An 18,483-nucleotide genomic window follows, 5' to 3' on the forward strand; every position below is an offset into this window, starting at 1 on the left:
TGCTCAGGCCAGAGGGCGGCCTGAACCACAGGGGACGTGGAGACAGCACCCAAGGCGCAGTAGGTCCACAAGTGGGGAGAATCCAGGGCATGATTCTCAGGCACCGACAGAACCCTCGCTCTGCATGCCCAAGGGCTGTGCGAGGAAGGCAGGTGCCCAGCTCCCCAGTTCTTCGATCCAGTAAAAGGAGACCCCAAATTCAGAAAGCCCTGGATCAACTGAAACAGTTCTTCCAGTAAGGTGTTTTTCTATTAAAGACAAACACCAAGTTACTGCAACTACCAAGTCCCAATATTCGAGGGGAGCCAACTAAGCATCAAGATGGGGCCCTCTGGGAGGCTCTCAAACCAAAGGATACGCGGCGTGCCCTCCGTACGGCAGACCAGGTAGAGGCAGGCAGCAATCACGTGGGCCATCTTCCGGCCGCGGGTCAGGTGCCTGCTCACGGCCATCTTGAAGAAGTTGAAGGCGGTGTCCAGGCAGTGCTGGTTCAGCTGCAGCTGGTTCCCCAGGTGGTGGATGTGGCGCCTCCCTAGGACACAGCACGAGGCAGCTCTTAGCCAAATGTTCCCACAGAACATGAAAAGTATCACACGGCCACAGCAGCAACTTTAAGAATATAGATTTGTGCTTTTCCTTGTAAGTTTCTGAGCTCACTTTTTATATGTGGGTTCCAATCACTTTTTATTTAAGGACACTGAAATGTGAATTTTCTGTGATCTCCATGTGCCATGAGATCCTGTTCTACCTGTTTCCCTTCTTTAGGCTCTGAGTGGCGTGTGCGGTGTGGCTGAATGTGCCTCTCTCCAGGGCTCTGAGGTGCGGCGTGTCTGGCAAGGGCTTGGTTTGGGCTGGCTGGCAGGTGCTATGCCCCTGACTGCCCTGGGCTACAGTGGGAATGCCCCTTTTCCTACAGCCACATGCCCCAGCGCCACCGCCTTCCCCAACCGCACAGAGTCTGGGTCAGCCCACCCGTCCCTTCTCAGCAGGGCCCATTCTGCTCAGCCCTGCGCCCGCCAGCCTCTCCTCTAAGAGCCAGCCACCCGGCCTGAGAAAAAGCCAGGCTAGCGCCATCCCCTGCACCTGCCCAGAGGGAGGGCCATGGTGTAGGGAAAAGGAAGAGAGGTCAGACTGTTACTGTGTCTATGCAGAAAGGGAAGACATAAGAGACTCCATTTTGACCTGTGCCCTGAACAACTGCTTTGCCCTGAGGTGTTAATCTGTAACTCTGCCCCAGCCACTTTGCCCCAACCTGGAGCTCACAGAAACCTGTGCTGTATGGAATCAAGGTTTCAGGGATCTAGGGCTGTGCAGGACGTGCCTTGTTAACAAAGTGTTCACAGGCAGTATGCTTGGTAAAAGTCATCGCCATTCTCCAGTCTCGATGAACCAGGGGCACAATACACTGCGGAAAGCTGCAGGGACCTCTGCCCTGGAAAGCCGGGTATTGTCCACGGTTTCTCCCCATGTGATAGTCTGAAATATGGCCTCGTGGGATGAGAAAGACCTGACCGTCCCCCAGCCCGACACCCGTGAAGGGTCTGTGCTGAGGTGGATTGGTAAAAGAGGAAGGCCTCTTGCAGTTGAGATACAGGAAGGCCTCTGTCTCCTGCCTGCCCCTGGGAACTGAATGTCTCGATATAAAACCCGATTGTACACTTGTTCAATTCTGAGATAGGAGAAAAACCGCCCTATGGCGGGAGATTAGACACGTTGGTAGCAATACTGCCTTGTTATTCTTTACTCCGCTGAGATGTTTGGGCGGAGAGAAACATAAATCTGGCCTATGTGCACATCCAGGCATAGTACCTTCCCTTGAACTTAATTATGACACAGATTATTTGGTTCACATGTTTTCTTGCTGACCTTCTCCCCACTATCACCCTGCTCTCCTGCCGCATTCTTCTTGCTGAGATAGTGAAAATAATAATCAATAAAAACTGAGGGAACTCAGAGACCGGTGCCGGTGCAGGTCCTTGGTATGCTGAGTGCCGGTCCCCTGGCCCCACTGTTCTTTCTCTATACTTTGTCTCTGTGTCATTTCTTTTCTCAGTCTCTCGTCCCACCTGACGAGATATACCCACAGGTGTGGAGGGGCAGGCCACCCCTTCACCATGGTAAGGGCATGCCCAGCAGACCGGAGGCCACTGCGCCCTCCTAGGGGCTGCGAGGTGCTGGAGGTGGCCAGGACGGCAACATCCGAGCACACGCGCCTCCCTGGAGCAAGACCCTCCCAAAGCTGCGGGCCACATGATGGCATCAGGAGGGAAATGGCAAAGCTGCCCTGCAGGCAGGAGGAACCTTGGGAAACAAATGTCAATGCAGAGTACAGGCCAACCTCACTGCCCCACTCTGTCTGCAGAGCACAGGCTGTGTGGGGAGCACCTGGGCCAACCTCACTGCCCCCACTTCTGTCTGCAGAGCACAGGCTGTGTGGGGAGCACCTGAGCCAACTTTACTGCCCCCACTTCTGTCTGCACAGTGGGCGTCGTGGGCAGGCAGAGTCCTTGCTCCAGGCAATTAGCCCCATGGGGTACCCAGAGGACATGTGTGGTGGGTCACGGCTCGATGCAGAGGAATGCTGCCGCCATGGAGATTCCAGTTCCCACTGCATCCTCTGGCACCCAAACCCACAGTCCTCCTGCAAAGACTACCTGAGGCGGCCTCCATCCCCATATAAAGTCAAAAACTGACCTCCCAGATTTATTTGATAAGGGCACATGAGCTGGAGAAAGTGAGGGCTGATGTTTTGCTCACGCCAAACTTCACTAATGATGACCAGCAGCCAGAGGTGGGCAGCTGCTGAGCCTGCATCCCAAGGAAGCCGGTGGCCAGGGTACACAGTCTGGCAGGTCCAGGTCAAGCCTCACACTGCCAGGCCCCTGGCAGTCAGCAGCATCACATGGAGCCCCCAGCCCGGCTGTGGCCCTGCCACCTTGAGCACCTAAGGCCACCTGCCTAGAGCTCATACAGCTCTGAGGCCTGCAGTCCAGCTGAGCTGACGTGGAAGGCTGGTCACTGTCCCCAGAGCTGAGGCCTGGGCCAAGCCAAGACCCCAAAAGAATGGACAGAAAGGGCATCGTGCCAGCTGCCACCTGCACATGTGCAGCACCAGCCAGACACACCAGCACAGACCGTCCCCGCGGCCCAGCAAGGCCCAGAGGGAAACAGAGTCAGCTGACAGGGGACCCGCTGAAGCTACGGCTCCTTACCTACCAGCTCTCTGCTGTATGTTTGAAAATTCTGTAATAAAAGGTAAGAGAGAGGTACTCTCTGAGGCCACACACTTGAGGCTGGGACTCGATCCCAAGCCCCGACCCCACAGGCACCAGCTCGTGTTCCCAGCATGCAGGGCTGCTATGGTCAGAATGTCTGACTCCTAAAATTCCTATGTTGAAATCCTATCCCCTACGGGGATGGTATTAAGATGCAGGGCCTTTGCGGGAGACTAGGTCAGGAGGCAGAGCACTAATGATGAGCTCAGTGCCCTTAAAAACCGGACCCCAGAGAACTAGCCCAGCTCTTCTACCACGTGAGGCCACAGTGAGAAGGAGCTGAGAGGCGGCCCTCACTAGAGAGCTGGGGAGGAGGCCACAGTGAGAAGGAGCTGAGAGGGGGCCCTCACTAGAGAGCTGGGGAGGAGGCCACAGTGAGAAGGAGCTGAGAGGCGGCCCTCACTAGAGAGCTGGGGAGGAGGCCACAGTGAGAAGGAGCTGAGAGGGGGCCCTCACTAGAGAGCTGGGGAGGAGGCCACAGTGAGAAGGAGCCGAGAGGCGGCCCTCACTAGAGAGCTGGGGAGGAGGCCACAGTGAGAAGGAGCCGAGAGGCGGCCCTCACTAGAGAGCTGGGGAGGAGGCCACAGTGAGAAGGAGCCGAGAGGGGGCCCTCACTAGAGAGCTGGGGAGGAGGCCACAGTGAGAAGGAGCCGAGAGGCGGCCCTCACTAGAGAGCTGGGGAGGAGGCCACAGTGAGAAGGAGCCGAGAGGCGGCCCTCACTAGAGAGCTGGGGAGGAGGCCACAGTGAGAAGGAGCTGAGAGGGGGCCCTCACTAGAGAGCTGGGGAGGAGGCCACAGTGAGAAGGAGCCGAGAGGCGGCCCTCACTAGAGAGCTGGGGAGGAGGCCACAGTGAGAAGGAGCCGAGAGGGGGCCCTCACTAGAGAGCTGGGGAGGAGGCCACAGTGAGAAGGAGCCGAGAGGCGGCCCTCACTAGAGAGCTGGGGAGGAGGCCACAGTGAGAAGGAGCCGAGAGGGGGCCCTCACTAGAGAGCTGGGGAGGAGGCCACAGTGAGAAGGAGCTGAGAGGCGGCCCTCACTAGAGAGCTGGGGAGGAGGCCACAGTGAGAAGGAGCCGAGAGGCGGCCCTCACTAGAGAGCTGGGGAGGAGGCCACAGTGAGAAGGAGCTGAGAGGCGGCCCTCACTAGAGAGCTGGGGAGGAGGCCACAGTGAGAAGGAGCCGAGAGGCGGCCCTCACTAGAGAGCTGGGGAGGAGGCCACAGTGAGAAGGAGCCGAGAGGCGGCCCTCACTAGAGAGCTGGGGAGGAGGCCACAGTGAGAAGGAGCCGAGAGGGGGCCCTCACTAGGGAGCTGGGGAGGAGGCCACAGTGAGAAGGAGCTGAGAGGGGGCCCTCACTAGAGAGCTGGGGAGGAGGCCACAGTGAGAAGGAGCCGAGAGGCGGCCCTCACTAGAGAGCTGGGGAGGAGGCCACAGTGAGAAGGAGCCGAGAGGCGGCCCTCACTAGAGAGCTGGGGAGGAGGCCACAGTGAGAAGGAGCCGAGAGGGGGCCCTCACTAGGGAGCTGGGGAGGAGGCCACAGTGAGAAGGAGCTGAGAGGGGGCCCTCACTAGAGAGCTGGGGAGGAGGCCACAGTGAGAAGGAGCTGAGAGGGGGCCCTCACTAGAGAGCTGGGGAGGAGGCCACAGTGAGAAGGAGCCGAGAGGCGGCCCTCACTAGAGAGCTGGGGAGGAGGCCACAGTGAGAAGGAGCTGAGAGGGGGCCCTCACTAGAGAGCTGGGGAGGAGGCCACAGTGAGAAGGAGCCGAGAGGCGGCCCTCACTAGAGAGCTGGGGAGGAGGCCACAGTGAGAAGGAGCTGAGAGGGGGCCCTCACTAGAGAGCTGGGGAGGAGGCCACAGTGAGAAGGAGCTGAGAGGCGGCCCTCACTAGAGAGCTGGGGAGGAGGCCACAGTGAGAAGGAGCTGAGAGGCGGCCCTCACTAGAGAGCTGGGGAGGAGGCAACTGTCTCCCCCATCTCCAGCTCAAACTTTCCAGCTCCAAAAGTGTGAGAAACACATTCCTGCTGTTTTGCCTTTCTGGTCTATGGTGTTCTGTTACAGCAGCCCAAAAGGACTAAAATGGGGGCTTATGATGACTGCAGTAAGTTATTTTTTACCATCTTCTTTCTCTTTTTTGAGATGGAGTCTCGCTCTGTCACCCAGGCTAGAGTGCAGTGGTGCGATCTCAGCTCACTGCAACCTCTGCTTCCCGGGTTCAAGTGATTCTCCTGCCTCAGCCTCTTGAGTAGCTGGGACTACAGGCACATGCCACTGCACCCAGCTAATTTTTTGTATTTTTAGTACAGACAGGGTTTCACACTGTTGGCCAGGATGGTCTCGAACTCCTGACCTTGTGATCCACCCATCTCCGCCTCCCAAAGTGCTGGGATACAAGCATGAGCCACTGTGCCTGGCCAAATATGTTATTAATAAACAGATATTCACATAGAAACCAACTACTAATTAGCTAGCCATAGCCTGCGAGTCTCCTTAGACTTCCTTCCAACAAATGAATTCTAAAAGTAAACTCAGGCTGTGTGCCGTGGCTCATGCCTGTAGTAATCCCAGCACTTCGGGAGGCTGAAGCAGGTAGATCACTTGAGCCCAGAAGTTCAAGACCAGCCTGGGCAACATAGTGAGATCCAACTGCTAAAATAATCAGCCAGGTGTGGTGGTGCAAGCCTGTAGGCCCAGCCAAGGTAGGAGGACTGCTTGAGCTTGGAAGGTTGAGGCTGCAGTGAGCCATGATCCTGCCACTGCAGTCCAGCCTGGGCAGCAAGAGAGCGAGACCCTGTCTCCAAAAAAAAAAAAAAAGATTTGAGGCATATCACCACTTACATGTAAAGTATAAAGCAATAAAGCTTCCAGAGGAAAACACAAGAGTATCTTCAGACCTTGGAGTAGATAAGAATTTCTTGAACAAGTCACAAACAGCCCTAACCATAAAAACTGATATACTGGGACTTCATTATAATTAAGAAATTTCTGGCAGGGTGCAGTGGCTCACACCTGTCATCCCAGCACTTTGGGAGGCTGAGGTGGGAGGATCACTGGAGCCCAGGAGTTGAAGACCAACCTGGCCAACATGGTGAGACCCCCATCTCTATTTAAAAAAAAAAAAGAATTGGCCGTGCGCAGTGGCTCATGCCGGTAATCCCAACACTTTGGGAGGCCGAGGCGGGCAGATCACGAGGTCAAGAGATCGAGACCATCCTGACCAACATGGTGAAACCCCGTCTCTACTAAAAAGTACAAATATTAGCCGGGCATGGTGGTGCACACCTGTAATCCCAGCTACTCGGGAGGCTAAGGCAGGAGAATCGCTTGCACCCATGAGGCAGAGGCTGCAGTGAGCCGAGATCGCGCCACTGCACTCCAGTCTGGCAAAAGAGTGAGACTCCATGTCAAAGAAAAAAATTAAAAATGAGTGGATGTGGTGGCATGTACACGTGATCCCAACTACTCGGGAGGCTGAAGTGAGAGGGCGGCTTTAGTCTGGGAGGTTGAGGCTGCAAGGAGCATCGACTGCACCACTGCACTCCAGCCCGGACCACAGAGTGAGTGAGACCCAGTCTCAAAAAAAAAAATTCAGAAGTTTCTGTTCGTCAAAAGACAACATTAAGAGAGTGAGACAAGCTACAGACGTGGGAGGAGGATTCGAAACATGTATATCCAACAAAGGACTCGAATCCAGAATATATAAAGAACTCTACAAATCTGTAAGAAAAAGACAACTCAGTTTTTAAAAAGCACAAAAGACGCCAATAGGCACTTCACACAGAAAGGACGTCCCAACAGCCAAGAAGCATGAGCAAAGGTTGTGGCCATAATTACTCACCAGGGAAAGCGAATTAATGCCGCAGCGAGTGTGCTACACACCTACCAGAAAGACTACAACTGGAAAGGCTGATGATGCCACATGTGAACAAGGCTGCGGAGCCACTGGGACTCTCCTACACTGCTTCCTGGTGGGAACATGAACTGGTACAAGCACTACAGAAAACCCTGTGGCCCTATCTAATGATGAGCACACCCAGACCTCAGGACCCAGACACCCATTCGCAGGTAAACTCCCAAGCGGAGGGGGCACCTGTGTCCACCGAAGGACCAGGTGCAAGAACACGCACAGCAGCTTCCTGTGCACAGCCAAGAATGGAAACACCCTAGACGTCCATCAACAGGAAAAGGAGATAAACTGTGGTCTATTCATCCCATGAAATACTACATTGCAATAAAAGAATAAACTACTTACACGCTCCAAAACAGCACGTTCTAGAACGGCTCCAGCCCAGACACTGGCAAGCCAGATGCGGACGACTAGAGCCACAGGAGCTCTCCTTCCTTGCTGCTGGGAGCACAAAATGGCTCAGGTGCTTTGGAAAAGGGTTTGGCAGTTTCTTACAAAACTCAGCATACTCTCACCACACCACCCAGCAATCACTCAGAAAAACCTGCACGTGACGTTTACAGCAGCTTCACTCATAATCGCCCAAGCCCAGATTCCCTTCAGCAAGCAGGTGAAAGGATAAATCAACTGTGGCGCACCTAGGCGGTGGAATATTACTCACCACTAAAGAGAAAGAGGCCACAGGCTGTGCAGAGACCTGGAGGACAGTTAAATGCCCATGGCTGAGTGACAGGCTGCACAGAGAAAGGATGCACAGTGTGCAACTCCAGCTCTACGACCACATGACCAAGCGCCGGTGAAAAGATCAATGGTTGCTGGAGGCTGGGGAAGGAGGGATGAATGGGTGGAGCTCAGGGGATCTTTAGGACTCTGAAAGCACTCTGTATGAAACTGTAACAGTGGTTACCCGTCACTACGCATTCATCTAAACCCATAGAACACGCACCGCCCAGCGTGAGCCTGGGTGTGTGGTGGAAGCTGCGTGATCCTGAGCCCAGGTGTGCAGATACAGCCTGAATGATCCTGAGCCCGCGTGCGCAGGTGGAGGCTGCATGATCCTGAGCCCGCGTGTGCAGGTGGAGGCTGTGTGATCCTGAGCCTGCGTGTGCAGGTGGAGGCTGCATGATCCTGAGCCCGGCTGTGCGGTGAAGGCTGCGTGATCCTGAGTCCGGGTGTGCGGATACAGCCCGCGTGACCCTGAGCCCGGGTGTGCGGATATAGCCCACGTGACCCTGAGCCTGGGTGTGCAGGTGGAGGCTGCATAATCTTGAGCCCAGGTGTGCAGGTGGAGGCTGCATGACCCTGAGCCCGGGTGTGTGGATACAGCCCACGTGACCCTGAGCCCAGGTGTGCGGATACAGCCTGCGTGACCCTGAGCCCAGGTGTGTGGACAGAGCCTGCGTGACCCTGAGCCCAGGTGTGTGGACAGAGCCTGCGTGACCCTGAGCCCGGGTGTGTGGATACAGCCTGCGTGACCCTGAGCCCAGGTGTGTGGATACAGCCTGCGTGACCCTGAGCCCAGGTGTGCGGATACAGCCTGCGTGACCCTGAGCCCAGGTGTGTGGATACAGCCTGCGTGACCCTGAGCCCGGGTGTGTGGATACAGGCTGCGTGATCCTGAGCCCAGGTGTGCAGGTGGAGGCCGTGTGATCCTGAGCCCGGGTGTGTGGATACAGCCTGCGTGATCCTGAGCCCGGGTGTGTGGATACAGCCTGCGTGACCCTGAGCCCGGGTGTGTGGATACAGCCTGTGTGATCCTGAGCCCGGGTGTGTGGATACAGCCTGCGTGATCCTGAGCCCAGGTGTGCGGATACAGCCTGTGTGACCCTGAGCCCGGGTGTGTGGATACAGGCTGCGTGATCCTGAGCCCAGGTGTGAGGTGGAGGCCGTGTGATCCTGAGCCCGGGTGTGTGGATACAGCCTGCGTGACCCTGAGCCCAGGTGTGCGGATACAGCCTGCGTGACCCTGAGCCCGGGTGTGTGGACAGAGCCTGCGTGATCCTGAGCCCGGGTGTGTGGACAGAGCCTGCGTGATCCTGATGAGTCGATGTGGGGCGGCTGACTGCAGCTCGTGCACCACAGTGGAGGGGGGCACTGACGGGGTCAGGGGAAGCTGTGTGGTGGGAGGTGCTCAGAGTCTACAGGAACTCTCTGCCGATCCATTTTGCTGTGAACCTAAAATGCTCTAAAAATTACAAGTCTTTTTTTTTTTTTTAAATTCCTTTCTATATGATTCCCACTGTATGAAGCAGAAAACCAAGTGAAGCCAGTGGGCAGCAGGTGCTTTCTGAGCTGCTGCAGGCCTGACTCATGTGGATTTGTCAGGTGGTTCATGGAAGGTCAGCACATTTCATGCACTTTACTATGCGTGCTATACTAGGAAAAACAGACCAAGAGAACAGAAAAAGAATTTCCCTGAGAAACGCGTCCCAAACGAAAGGCTCATCAGGTCAATGAAGAGAGCCCCACCTAGCGGCATTTCAGAACCGTCGCTTCAGAACATCAAAGAAATCATCCCAAAAGGCCTGAGATTTTAAAAACAGAGATCAAAACACACTGGCATTCAACGTCTCTTGCTGGTGGACCCGGAGCAGATGCTCCCCACATTCCATGGGGTGCCTGTCTCAACCCCTTGGCAACCATCCCAGGGGGAAGGGGCAGGAGTTTCTCTCTCCCAGACCCTTTCTCTAAATACAGTCTCAGCGTGTCCCCAGCAAACCAAAGGAGGGGCCTGTGACCTCGCAGGGTGCACGGAGGCAAGCAGAGGAGACAGAGTCCTCGCAGAACATGACTGTCGCTGCGGGCAGGAAGGGTGGCCCGTGAGTTTATTTCCATCTTTGCAGTTTTCTAAGAAAGGCAATCAAGACTTCACCAAAACAGTAACAGTCGGAAGCTACATTCACAGATTTCCACCAAACCTGGCAGGCTGGGTGGCGGGCGGGAGTGGAGGCCGTGGGCCAAGCTTGCAGCGGGACCAGGGCTGATATGAAAACTTCAACCAAGGCGGTATGGGGAGAACAAAGGAGAATAAACAAAATTTAAACAAACATAACCCATGATAAATCAATCAATCAAAATAAAGGGTTTTTTAAAAGTAAGATAAATACAGCCAGGTGTAGTGGCTCACACCTCTAATTCAAGCACTTTGGGAGGCCAAGGCGGGTGGATCACCTGAGGTCAGGAGTTCGAGATAAGCCTGGCCAACATGGCAAAACCACGTCTCTACTAAAAATACAAAAATTAGCCGGGCGTGATGGTGGGCACTTGTAACTCCAGCTACTCGGGAGGCTGAGGCAGGAGAGTAGCTTGAACCCAGGAGGCGGAGGTTGCAGTGAGCCCAGATCGCGCCACTGCACTCCAGCCTGGGTGACAGAGCGAGACTCCATCTCAAAAAACAAACAAACAAACAAAAGGTAAGATAAATACGAAATACAAAATAAGAGGCAGGAAGAGCCCAAAGCATCAGAAATGTGCCAGTTATAATGGGCCAAAATCCCCTCTTGTGTCTCCAGAAGTATTTGAAAAATACGTTAGGATCTGCCTCACAGACATGCTCCCAGGACACTCGACAGCAAGGAGGTACGGCGGGCCCAGCCAGCCAAGGCAGAGGAGGACATCACTGCCACAGCAGGGGGCCTGACTGGCAGCAAAAGGGACGACTCCGGCGAAAAGTCAGCAGGAAACAGGACAGGGGCTGGACCAATGGCCTCCCTCAGCCCCACACCCCACCCAGGCAGGAGCGGTGCCTGGCCCGGGGCAGGCGGGTGGGAGAGCTCACTGAGTGGGCAGCAGGGCATGGCCCCTGATGCTGCAGGTACCCAGGCTGCAGCTGCAGAACCTCAGGTGGGAACCCAGGTACAAAGATCAGCATAGGGTCCCCCAGAACCACCCATCCCCAGTAAGACTCAAGAGGGGTGGGGGCCCCGCAGCTTCCCCCACACAGTGAGTGGGGTCCACGGGGCCTCCTGGGCCTGCAGGTCACAACCTTCACTGACACTCACCCCTAATTAGGGAGCATGTATGTTCCAATTTTCATTTCTTTCTTGAACCAAAGGTATTTAAAAGGCTTTTGAAAAGGTAAGATGAGCCATTTCTCTTTCTCTGTTGTTGGTTTCCAATCCTATTGCAATGCACGCGTCTGCACCGACACTACTCTTTGCAATTTGTATAGGTCTGAGGCACGACCAACTCTAGTAAAGATACCGCGAGTTTTTGGGAAAATACAGACTACATTCTCTGTGGAGAACAAAGCTCTTCACATGGAGAAAATCTTGAAGTCAGTAGAAGAAAAAAAGGAGATAGCCTAGTGGCACCACAAGCAATGGGCAGAGCTGGGCCCCAACCCAGGCAGCCTGAGGTCAGGAGGGCCCCTGGGCAGCGCAGCCCCAGCCCCCACCTGGAGGAACTGTAAACGTGTGTGCCAGGAAGCCCTGAAACAGACAAAACAAAAAACTGACAAAACTGTGGGTAGGACAGGACGGATCCAGTCACTGTGCCAGGTCTTCATGCACACTCTCGGTGGCAGACACAGAGAACCAGCCAGTGGAGAGGAAGAGGGATGTGCTGCGCTGCACCCGCTTCCTGCAGGAAACGCATTCAAGCGCCCAACACACATGCACGTCCACAAAACTGGCCTTCCACCCGGCCACGGCTCGAAGCATTTCCGAAGACTGAAATCACACAGAGGGTGCTCTCTACTGCAGAAGAATCACACCGGCAGTCAGGAAGAAAGGCGCTGACTATACTCCTCTACTAGTAAGTCCACAGCAGGACAAGGAAAAAAGCACAAGGGAAGCGTAAGGATCCATCCACTCTGCTGTGAGGGATCATCGCAAGCCCAACTACCCCTGCCAGCCTAGGTGTGTCGGTGCTGGCCACCCGTCGGCAGCAGCAGCCAGGAGCAGAGGCAGGTGCTCAAGAGCCCGGCCTCCTGGAGATGGCCCAGGAGAAAACAGCCAGGGTGACGTGCTGTCCACAAGAGATGTTCTACCTGTCCCGACCACCTTCCAGCATCCACACTAAGGCTGCAGGACATGGCTGCACCGATCACAAGAATCCCTCACGTGGTCCTCAGGTTCCTGAGAGTGTACTCAATGAAACAGTGAAGCCAAAGAGATCCTAGCACAAAGTATCCCTGCCTGGACTGACCCACGGCCAACCCACACTCAATGGTGAAGACTGGATGCTTCCCCAGGATCAAGGACAAGAGGATGTCTGTTCACACCACTGCTATTCAATGTGGTAAACAAAAAAAACAAAAACAAAAAACAGGCACTAGACTAGAAAGGAAAGATAACACGATCTTGTACCGAAAATCCTAAGTGATCCGCTAAAAAACTATTCAGCATAAAAAATGAGTTCAGCCAGGCTGCAAGATACAAGATCAATACATATCAACTGAGACTAAATTCGACAAAAGAAGTACAAAACTTATACTCTGAGAACTAATAAAATTGTTGAAACAAATTAAAGAAGACCCAAATAAATGGAAAGAAATCCTGTATTCAGGTATCAGAAGACTTTACACTGTTTAGGCGGCAGTGTTCCCCAAAATGACCAACATATTAACGCAATCCCCGTCAAAATCCCAGCTGACTTCTTGGCAGAAACTGACAAGCTGATCCTAAAATTCATATTGCCACTCAAGGGACTTCAAACAGGCAGCATAACACTTTTGAAAGAGAGCAGTTAGAGGACTCACAGTTCCTGATTTCAAAACTGACTGCGAAGCTTCAGTGTCCTGAACAGCGTGGAACGGGCACCAGGACTGTCATGCAGTCACTAAGCCAAACTGAGGATCCAGAAATGAGCTTTTAGGTTTACGGTCAATCGATTTTCAGCAAGGGCACCAAGAGGATGCCAACTGGCAAAATACAGTGTTTTCAACACATGGTCCTGAGAAAACTGGGTCTGCACGTGCAGGAGTGAAGGCAGGCCCTTACCTTACATCACATGCAAACGCTGACTCAATATGGACCAAAACCTACTGGAAAGAGAGGAAGGCGCAAAACTCCAAAAAATCATAAGCACAAATCTTCACGATTTGGACTGGATTAGGCAACATTTGTTAGTTATGATACCAAAAGCACAGCCATCAAGAGACTAAATAGGTAAACTGGATACTATCAGAATTTAAAACTTTCATGCTCCAAAGGATACCAGCGAAAAATAAAAAGACAAAAGAAAATGAAAAGAACGCATGAAATGGCTGAAAATGTCCTATAAATCACACATCCGATAAAAGACTTGTACCTAAAACACATAAAATCACACATCCGATAAACGACTTGCACCTAAAATATATAAAATCACACATCCGATAAAAGACTTGTACCTAAAACACATAAAGAACTTTTTCAACTCAATCATAAGACAAATAACCCAGCAGACATTTCTCCAGTTTGTGGTGAACTGGCACTTTGACAAAACGCAGTGAGAATGTCACTACAATATCCAACTGCTATAAATGTGTTATTTCTGCCTCCATCTCACTGAGGCCATCAAGCAATGGCTGTGGATCCTGTGGGATCCACTGGGTTCTCCCCAAACAGCCCTGGCAGAGTCTGCAGGACACCCAGGAGGGGACTCAGGGCACAATTCCTCCTGGAAAGCAGCCTGGGCTGGGCGTGCAGGGTGACGAGGAAGTGGCAGGCCATGAGGTCCATGGCTGAGTCAGTGCCCTCCACCCTAGCACCACCATCCCCATCTCTGGGACCCGCCGCACGCTCAGCAGCATCCGCGGTGGGAAATACCATTCTGCAGGGTCTGCGCTCTCGACTCCTTCCCCAGATTCACGTGGAAGCCGCCACCCAGAGTCGGGGTTTTGCCAGCACCTGGAAACACAAAAAAAGACAGATCAGCCAAAACTTGGAGATCTGCATTTACAACCCTTTCCTAACATCCACAGACACAAAGTGAGAACAAAGCGGGGGTCAGCACTCATGGGGGAAGCAGCAGGTCGGCCCCCCGCACCTCCGTCACTGAGCCAGGAACCCCAGTGGGGGAAGCATCTCTCACTCTGCCCAGCCAGCAGGGTTGAGGGTGGGCCAACTGCACTTTCCGCATTTTCTTTTTTTTTTTGAGACGGAGTCTCCCTCTGTTGCCCAGGCTGGAGTGCAGTGGTCCCATCTCCACTCACTGCAAGCTCCGCCTCCTGGGTTCACGCCATTCTCCTGCCTCAGCCTTCCAAGTAGCTGGGACTATAGGTGCCCGCCACCACGCCCGGCTGGGATTACAGGCACTTTCTGCATTTTCTAACCATGTCCCTAACACACTGCAAGTCCAGAGTGGACGCTGTCAAATGGCTGCCGGGCGAGAACACAGATGTACCTCCAAACCTCTGCAAGTGGTGCACACACAGCATGGGCTGGCCGTCCCCCTTGCCCCAGGCCAGCCCACTCAGATATCACTCCTGCATGGTGACCACATGTGAACACATCCACCTCCCTGCTGGACTGCAGGGGACGCAGGTACCATCCCATGTGCCCCAAGGCACTGCAACCAGCCAGTCTGCAGAAGGCCCCCACGCCTCAGTCCACCCACCCATGGGGAGGCTGCAGCTGAACCTGCTGGACACTCTACTCCGAAGCTCTGCCAACTGACAGCATGCCTACGACGTCCACCACATTCTGCCCTGCAGGGCTTCGGGGTTAAGACCTGGCCCTGGTACCTCTGGAAACATCAGGTGGACATTTGGATTGTTCACCAGGTTCACCAGCCCGATCGCTGCAGCCTGATCTCCCAATGAGCATGGTGGACATGTGGATTGTTCACCAGGTTCACCAACCCAAACGCTGCGGCCTGATCTTCCAACGAGAACAGTAAGGTGAGGCCCCAGGCATGCCCAAAGATGGGGAGAGCTGGAAAGTGCCCCCCGCCCCGCAGCGTCGGCCCTCAGTGGTTGGCACAGGGGCCAGTGCATTTGTGACAAAGCACAGACACAGGACTGGAGGCTGCTGCAATCGGGACGCGCAGACAACCTTGGCCACTTGGGGGAAGGCAAGTGTGTAGGGCCTGTCGGAGGACACTGGAAGGATAGGATGCAGAAGCAGAAAGCCAATCGCTGGAGCCTGGGGCCAGGCCCTCCAGGGAAACCATGAGGCAGGGACCTCAGCGTCATCCAGGGGCAGCCACCAGCACAGACAAGGCAGAACAGGCACGGCCTCTGGCTTCACAATGAATGTAACTGAATCCCAAACAAATACTAACAACACTCTTTAAAGACTCCAGTAAAATGATTCTAAAGTTCAGTTGGAAGCAAAAAGGAATTAGAGCAGCCAAGAAAAGTTTTGAAGAGAGCAAGGGGCAGCTACTGGGCCCGTCCGGAAACTCAGAGCTGAACAGGGTCAGGTGGCACTCAGCTTTTCCTGGTGGCAGCAGAGGCAAAGCCCGGGCCTCCTTCAGGCTGAGGCCCAGAGCCGGCCTCCTGGTGGGTAACGTGGCCACAGGGGTGGCCGGCAGCAGCAGCAGGGCACCAGCACTGAGCACAGGCCTCCAACAAAGGTGGTGCCGGGACGGGGGCAGTGCCTGGAGACTACCTAGGTTGTCACAACTGGGATCTATGTACTAGTTTTCTGTGGCTGCCATAAAAATTGCCACAAACCTAGTGGCTTTCAAGAAGCTGTAGAAGGTCCGGGCGCGGTGGCTCACGCTTGTAATCCCGGCACTTTGGGAGGCCGAGGTGGGTGGATCACGAGGTCAGGAGATCGAGACCATCTTGGCGAACATGGTGAAACTCTGTCTCTACTAAAAATACAAAATTAGCCAGGCGTGGTGGCGGGTGCCTGTGATCCCAGCTACTCAGGAGGCTGAGGCAGGAGAATCGCTTGAACCCAGGAGGTGGAGGTTGCAGTGAGCAGAGATGGTGCCACTGCACTCCAGCCTGGGTGACAGAGCAAGACTCCGTCTCAAAAAAATAAAAATAAAAATAAAAATAAAATAAAGTAAAAAAGAAGCTGGAGTGGTGGCCGGGCATGGTGGCTCACACCTGTGGTCCCAACACTTTGGGAGGCCGGAGCAGGAAGATCGCCCAACCCAGGAGTTCAATACCAGCCTGGGCAACACGGGGAGACCCATTTCTTTCTTTCTTTCTTTCTTTTTTTTTTTTTTGAAACAGAGTTTCGCTCTGTCACCCAGGCTGGAGTGCAGTGGCGTGATCTTGGCTCACTGCAAGCTCTGCCTCCTGGGTTCATGCCATTCTCCTGCCTCAGCCTCCCGAGTAGCTGGGACTACAGGTGCCTGCAACCACGCCCGGCTAATTTTTTGTGTTTTTAGTAGAGACGGGGTTTCACTGTGTTAGCCAGGATGGGGGGAGACCCATTTCTACAAAAAAAAACTGAAAAAAATTAGCTGGGTGTGGTGGCACCTGCTTGTGGTCCTACTACTCAGGAGGCTGAGGTTGGAGGATCACTAGAGCCCGGGAGGTCGAGGCTGCAATGAGCTGAGATCGTGCCACTGCACTCCAGCCTGGGTGACAGAGCAAGACCCTGTCTCAAAAAAAAAAAAAAAAAGAAGCTAGAACAGGCCAGGCATAGTGGCTCACATCTGTAATCACAGCACTTTGAGAGGCTGAGGCAGGAAGACTGCTTGAGCCCAGGAGTTCAAGACCAGCCTGGACAACATAGCAAGATCCCATCTCTACAAAAAAAAAATGAGCGGGGTATGGTAGGGCATGCCTGTGGTCCCAGCTACTCAGGTGGCTGAGGCAGGCAGATCGTTTGAGTCCAGAAGGTGGAGGCTGCAGTGAGCTGTGATGCACCTCTGCACTCCAGCCTGAGCAACACGGTGAGAACCTGTCTGAACAAATAATAAACTAAACAGAAGCTGGAGCAGGTCGCAGTGGTGTCTCCTTGTGGGGGCTGGAGAGGACCTGGCAGGGCCACAGTGAGGTGCCTGCTGATATGAGAATCCAGAAGAGAGGCCAGGGAGAAACGCAGGACTCAGGAGAGACCCATCCTGGAATAAGGGGGCTTTGAGCAGCACTGATGAGCCAATTCTAAATTCTGCAGAAATCTGGCCCAGGCCTCCCCAGGCTGAGCTCCAGGTGCCTGCAACTCCGACCCTCCCTCAGAGTTCTTTGTTTTGTGAGCAGTGTGTATTCTTTTTTTTTTTGAGACGGAGTCTCGCTCTATCGCCCAGGCTGGAGTGTAGTGGTGCGATCTCGGCTCACTGCAACCTCCGCCTCCCGGATTCAAGCAATTCTCCTGCTTCAGCCTCCTGAGTAGCTGGAACTACAGGTGCGTGCCACCACGCCCAGCTGATTTTTGTATTTTTACTAGAGATGAGGTTTCACCACGTTGGCCAGGCTGGCCTTGAATTCCCGACCTCAAGTGATCCACCCACCTCGGCCTCCCAAAGTGCTGGGATTACAGGCGTGAGCCACCACGCCCCGCCTGTTTTTTCTAAGCGTTCGAATTAAGATCACCATTCTGTGTAGCCCCTGGCATGCTGGTCTCCAGCACATGCTCCCTCACCAACTTTCACTTTAGAAAAAGAAAAATCTCACTATATTCTAATTAGTGTATATAATGCTTTTAATAAATAACTCATATAACACTACATTAGAAAAAGGACAATGATCAAAGTATAAAAAGCCAGCTGGGTGCAGTGGCTCACGCCTATAACCCCAGCACTTTGGGAGGCCGATGCGGTTGGATCACCTGAGGTTGGGAGTTCGAGACCAGCCTAACCAACAAGGAGAAACCCCGTGTCTACTAAAAATATGAAATTACCCAGGCATGGTGGCACATGCCTGTAATCCCAGCTACTCAGGAGGCTGAAGCGGGAGAATCACTTGAACCTGGGAGGCAGAGGTTGTGGTGAGCCGAGATCGCGCCATTGCACTCCAGCCTGGGCAACAAGAGCGAAACTCCATCTCAAAAACAAATAAATAAAAAGCCCCTGAAGCCCCACCTTCCAAGAACAGGGGACGCCGTACAGCCTCCATTATAGCCACGTTTCCCTGCCTAGGTACAGTGGGCTGCAGGCGTGCTTCTGACAGAACAGGGCCACAGTGAGATGCCACGTTAAATTACAGTGATGATTTCGATTCTGGTTGTGTTTTACGCAATCTCTTCACTCCTTGACCCATACCCATCAGCTTGCACCACAGCACACTGCAAAGCTGCATGCGTCAGCAGCTCCACGCTCCACCTGCCACCTCTGCCCTCCCTCCTCCATCACTCTGTCTTGCACCCTCCAGCCTCCCATACCCTCCTCACACCCCAGGACCTCTGTTTCCTGTCCCTGTGTTGTTCTCCCTGTCCCCCAACACCACAGTCACCCTCCCTGGGGCCACGCTGCT

At 54.0% G+C, this 18,483-nt stretch overlaps 1 protein-coding gene across 11 annotated transcripts in view, besides 4 other annotated features; it reads right to left on the minus strand.

Annotated features, from left to right (window-relative positions):
• The window catches only part of BRF1 (BRF1 general transcription factor IIIB subunit), a 106,304-nt gene that overhangs the window by 63,077 nt on the left and 24,744 nt on the right, over positions 1-18,483 (minus strand). For 10 of the 11 annotated variants that reach the window (XM_047431305.1, NM_001440451.1, NM_001242787.2 and 7 more), the window contains exons 2-3: positions 13,934-14,014; positions 359-532 (exon numbers count right to left, since the gene is read on the minus strand). In XM_047431305.1, coding sequence (XP_047287261.1) covers positions 359-452 — 94 coding nt within the window. In that variant the 5' untranslated portion in view covers positions 453-532; positions 13,934-14,014. The remainder of the gene's footprint in view (positions 1-358; positions 533-13,933; positions 14,015-18,483) is intronic. The other variant, NM_001242788.2, reaches the window with a different exon arrangement.
• Positions 1,838-2,741: an enhancer, noted in NCBI's record as "H3K4me1 hESC enhancer chr14:105740537-105741440 (GRCh37/hg19 assembly coordinates)". NCBI's record gives its function as "activates a minimal SCP1, AML or CMV promoter by ChIP-STARR-seq in naive H9 embryonic stem cells {active_cell/tissue: H9 hESC(naive)}" and the evidence as "EXISTENCE:reporter gene assay evidence [ECO:0000049][PMID:30033119]".
• Positions 10,665-11,206: an enhancer, noted in NCBI's record as "H3K27ac-H3K4me1 hESC enhancer chr14:105749364-105749905 (GRCh37/hg19 assembly coordinates)". NCBI's record gives its function as "activates a minimal SCP1, AML or CMV promoter by ChIP-STARR-seq in naive H9 embryonic stem cells {active_cell/tissue: H9 hESC(naive)}" and the evidence as "EXISTENCE:reporter gene assay evidence [ECO:0000049][PMID:30033119]".
• Positions 11,750-12,290: an enhancer, noted in NCBI's record as "H3K4me1 hESC enhancer chr14:105750449-105750989 (GRCh37/hg19 assembly coordinates)". NCBI's record gives its function as "activates a minimal SCP1, AML or CMV promoter by ChIP-STARR-seq in primed H9 embryonic stem cells {active_cell/tissue: H9 hESC(primed)}" and the evidence as "EXISTENCE:reporter gene assay evidence [ECO:0000049][PMID:30033119]".
• Positions 13,561-14,459: an enhancer, noted in NCBI's record as "H3K4me1 hESC enhancer chr14:105752260-105753158 (GRCh37/hg19 assembly coordinates)". NCBI's record gives its function as "activates a minimal SCP1, AML or CMV promoter by ChIP-STARR-seq in naive H9 embryonic stem cells {active_cell/tissue: H9 hESC(naive)}" and the evidence as "EXISTENCE:reporter gene assay evidence [ECO:0000049][PMID:30033119]".

Source organism: Homo sapiens, chromosome 14 (assembly GCF_000001405.40).
Source record: "Homo sapiens chromosome 14, GRCh38.p14 Primary Assembly".
NCBI classification, from domain to species: domain Eukaryota; kingdom Metazoa; phylum Chordata; class Mammalia; order Primates; family Hominidae; genus Homo; species Homo sapiens.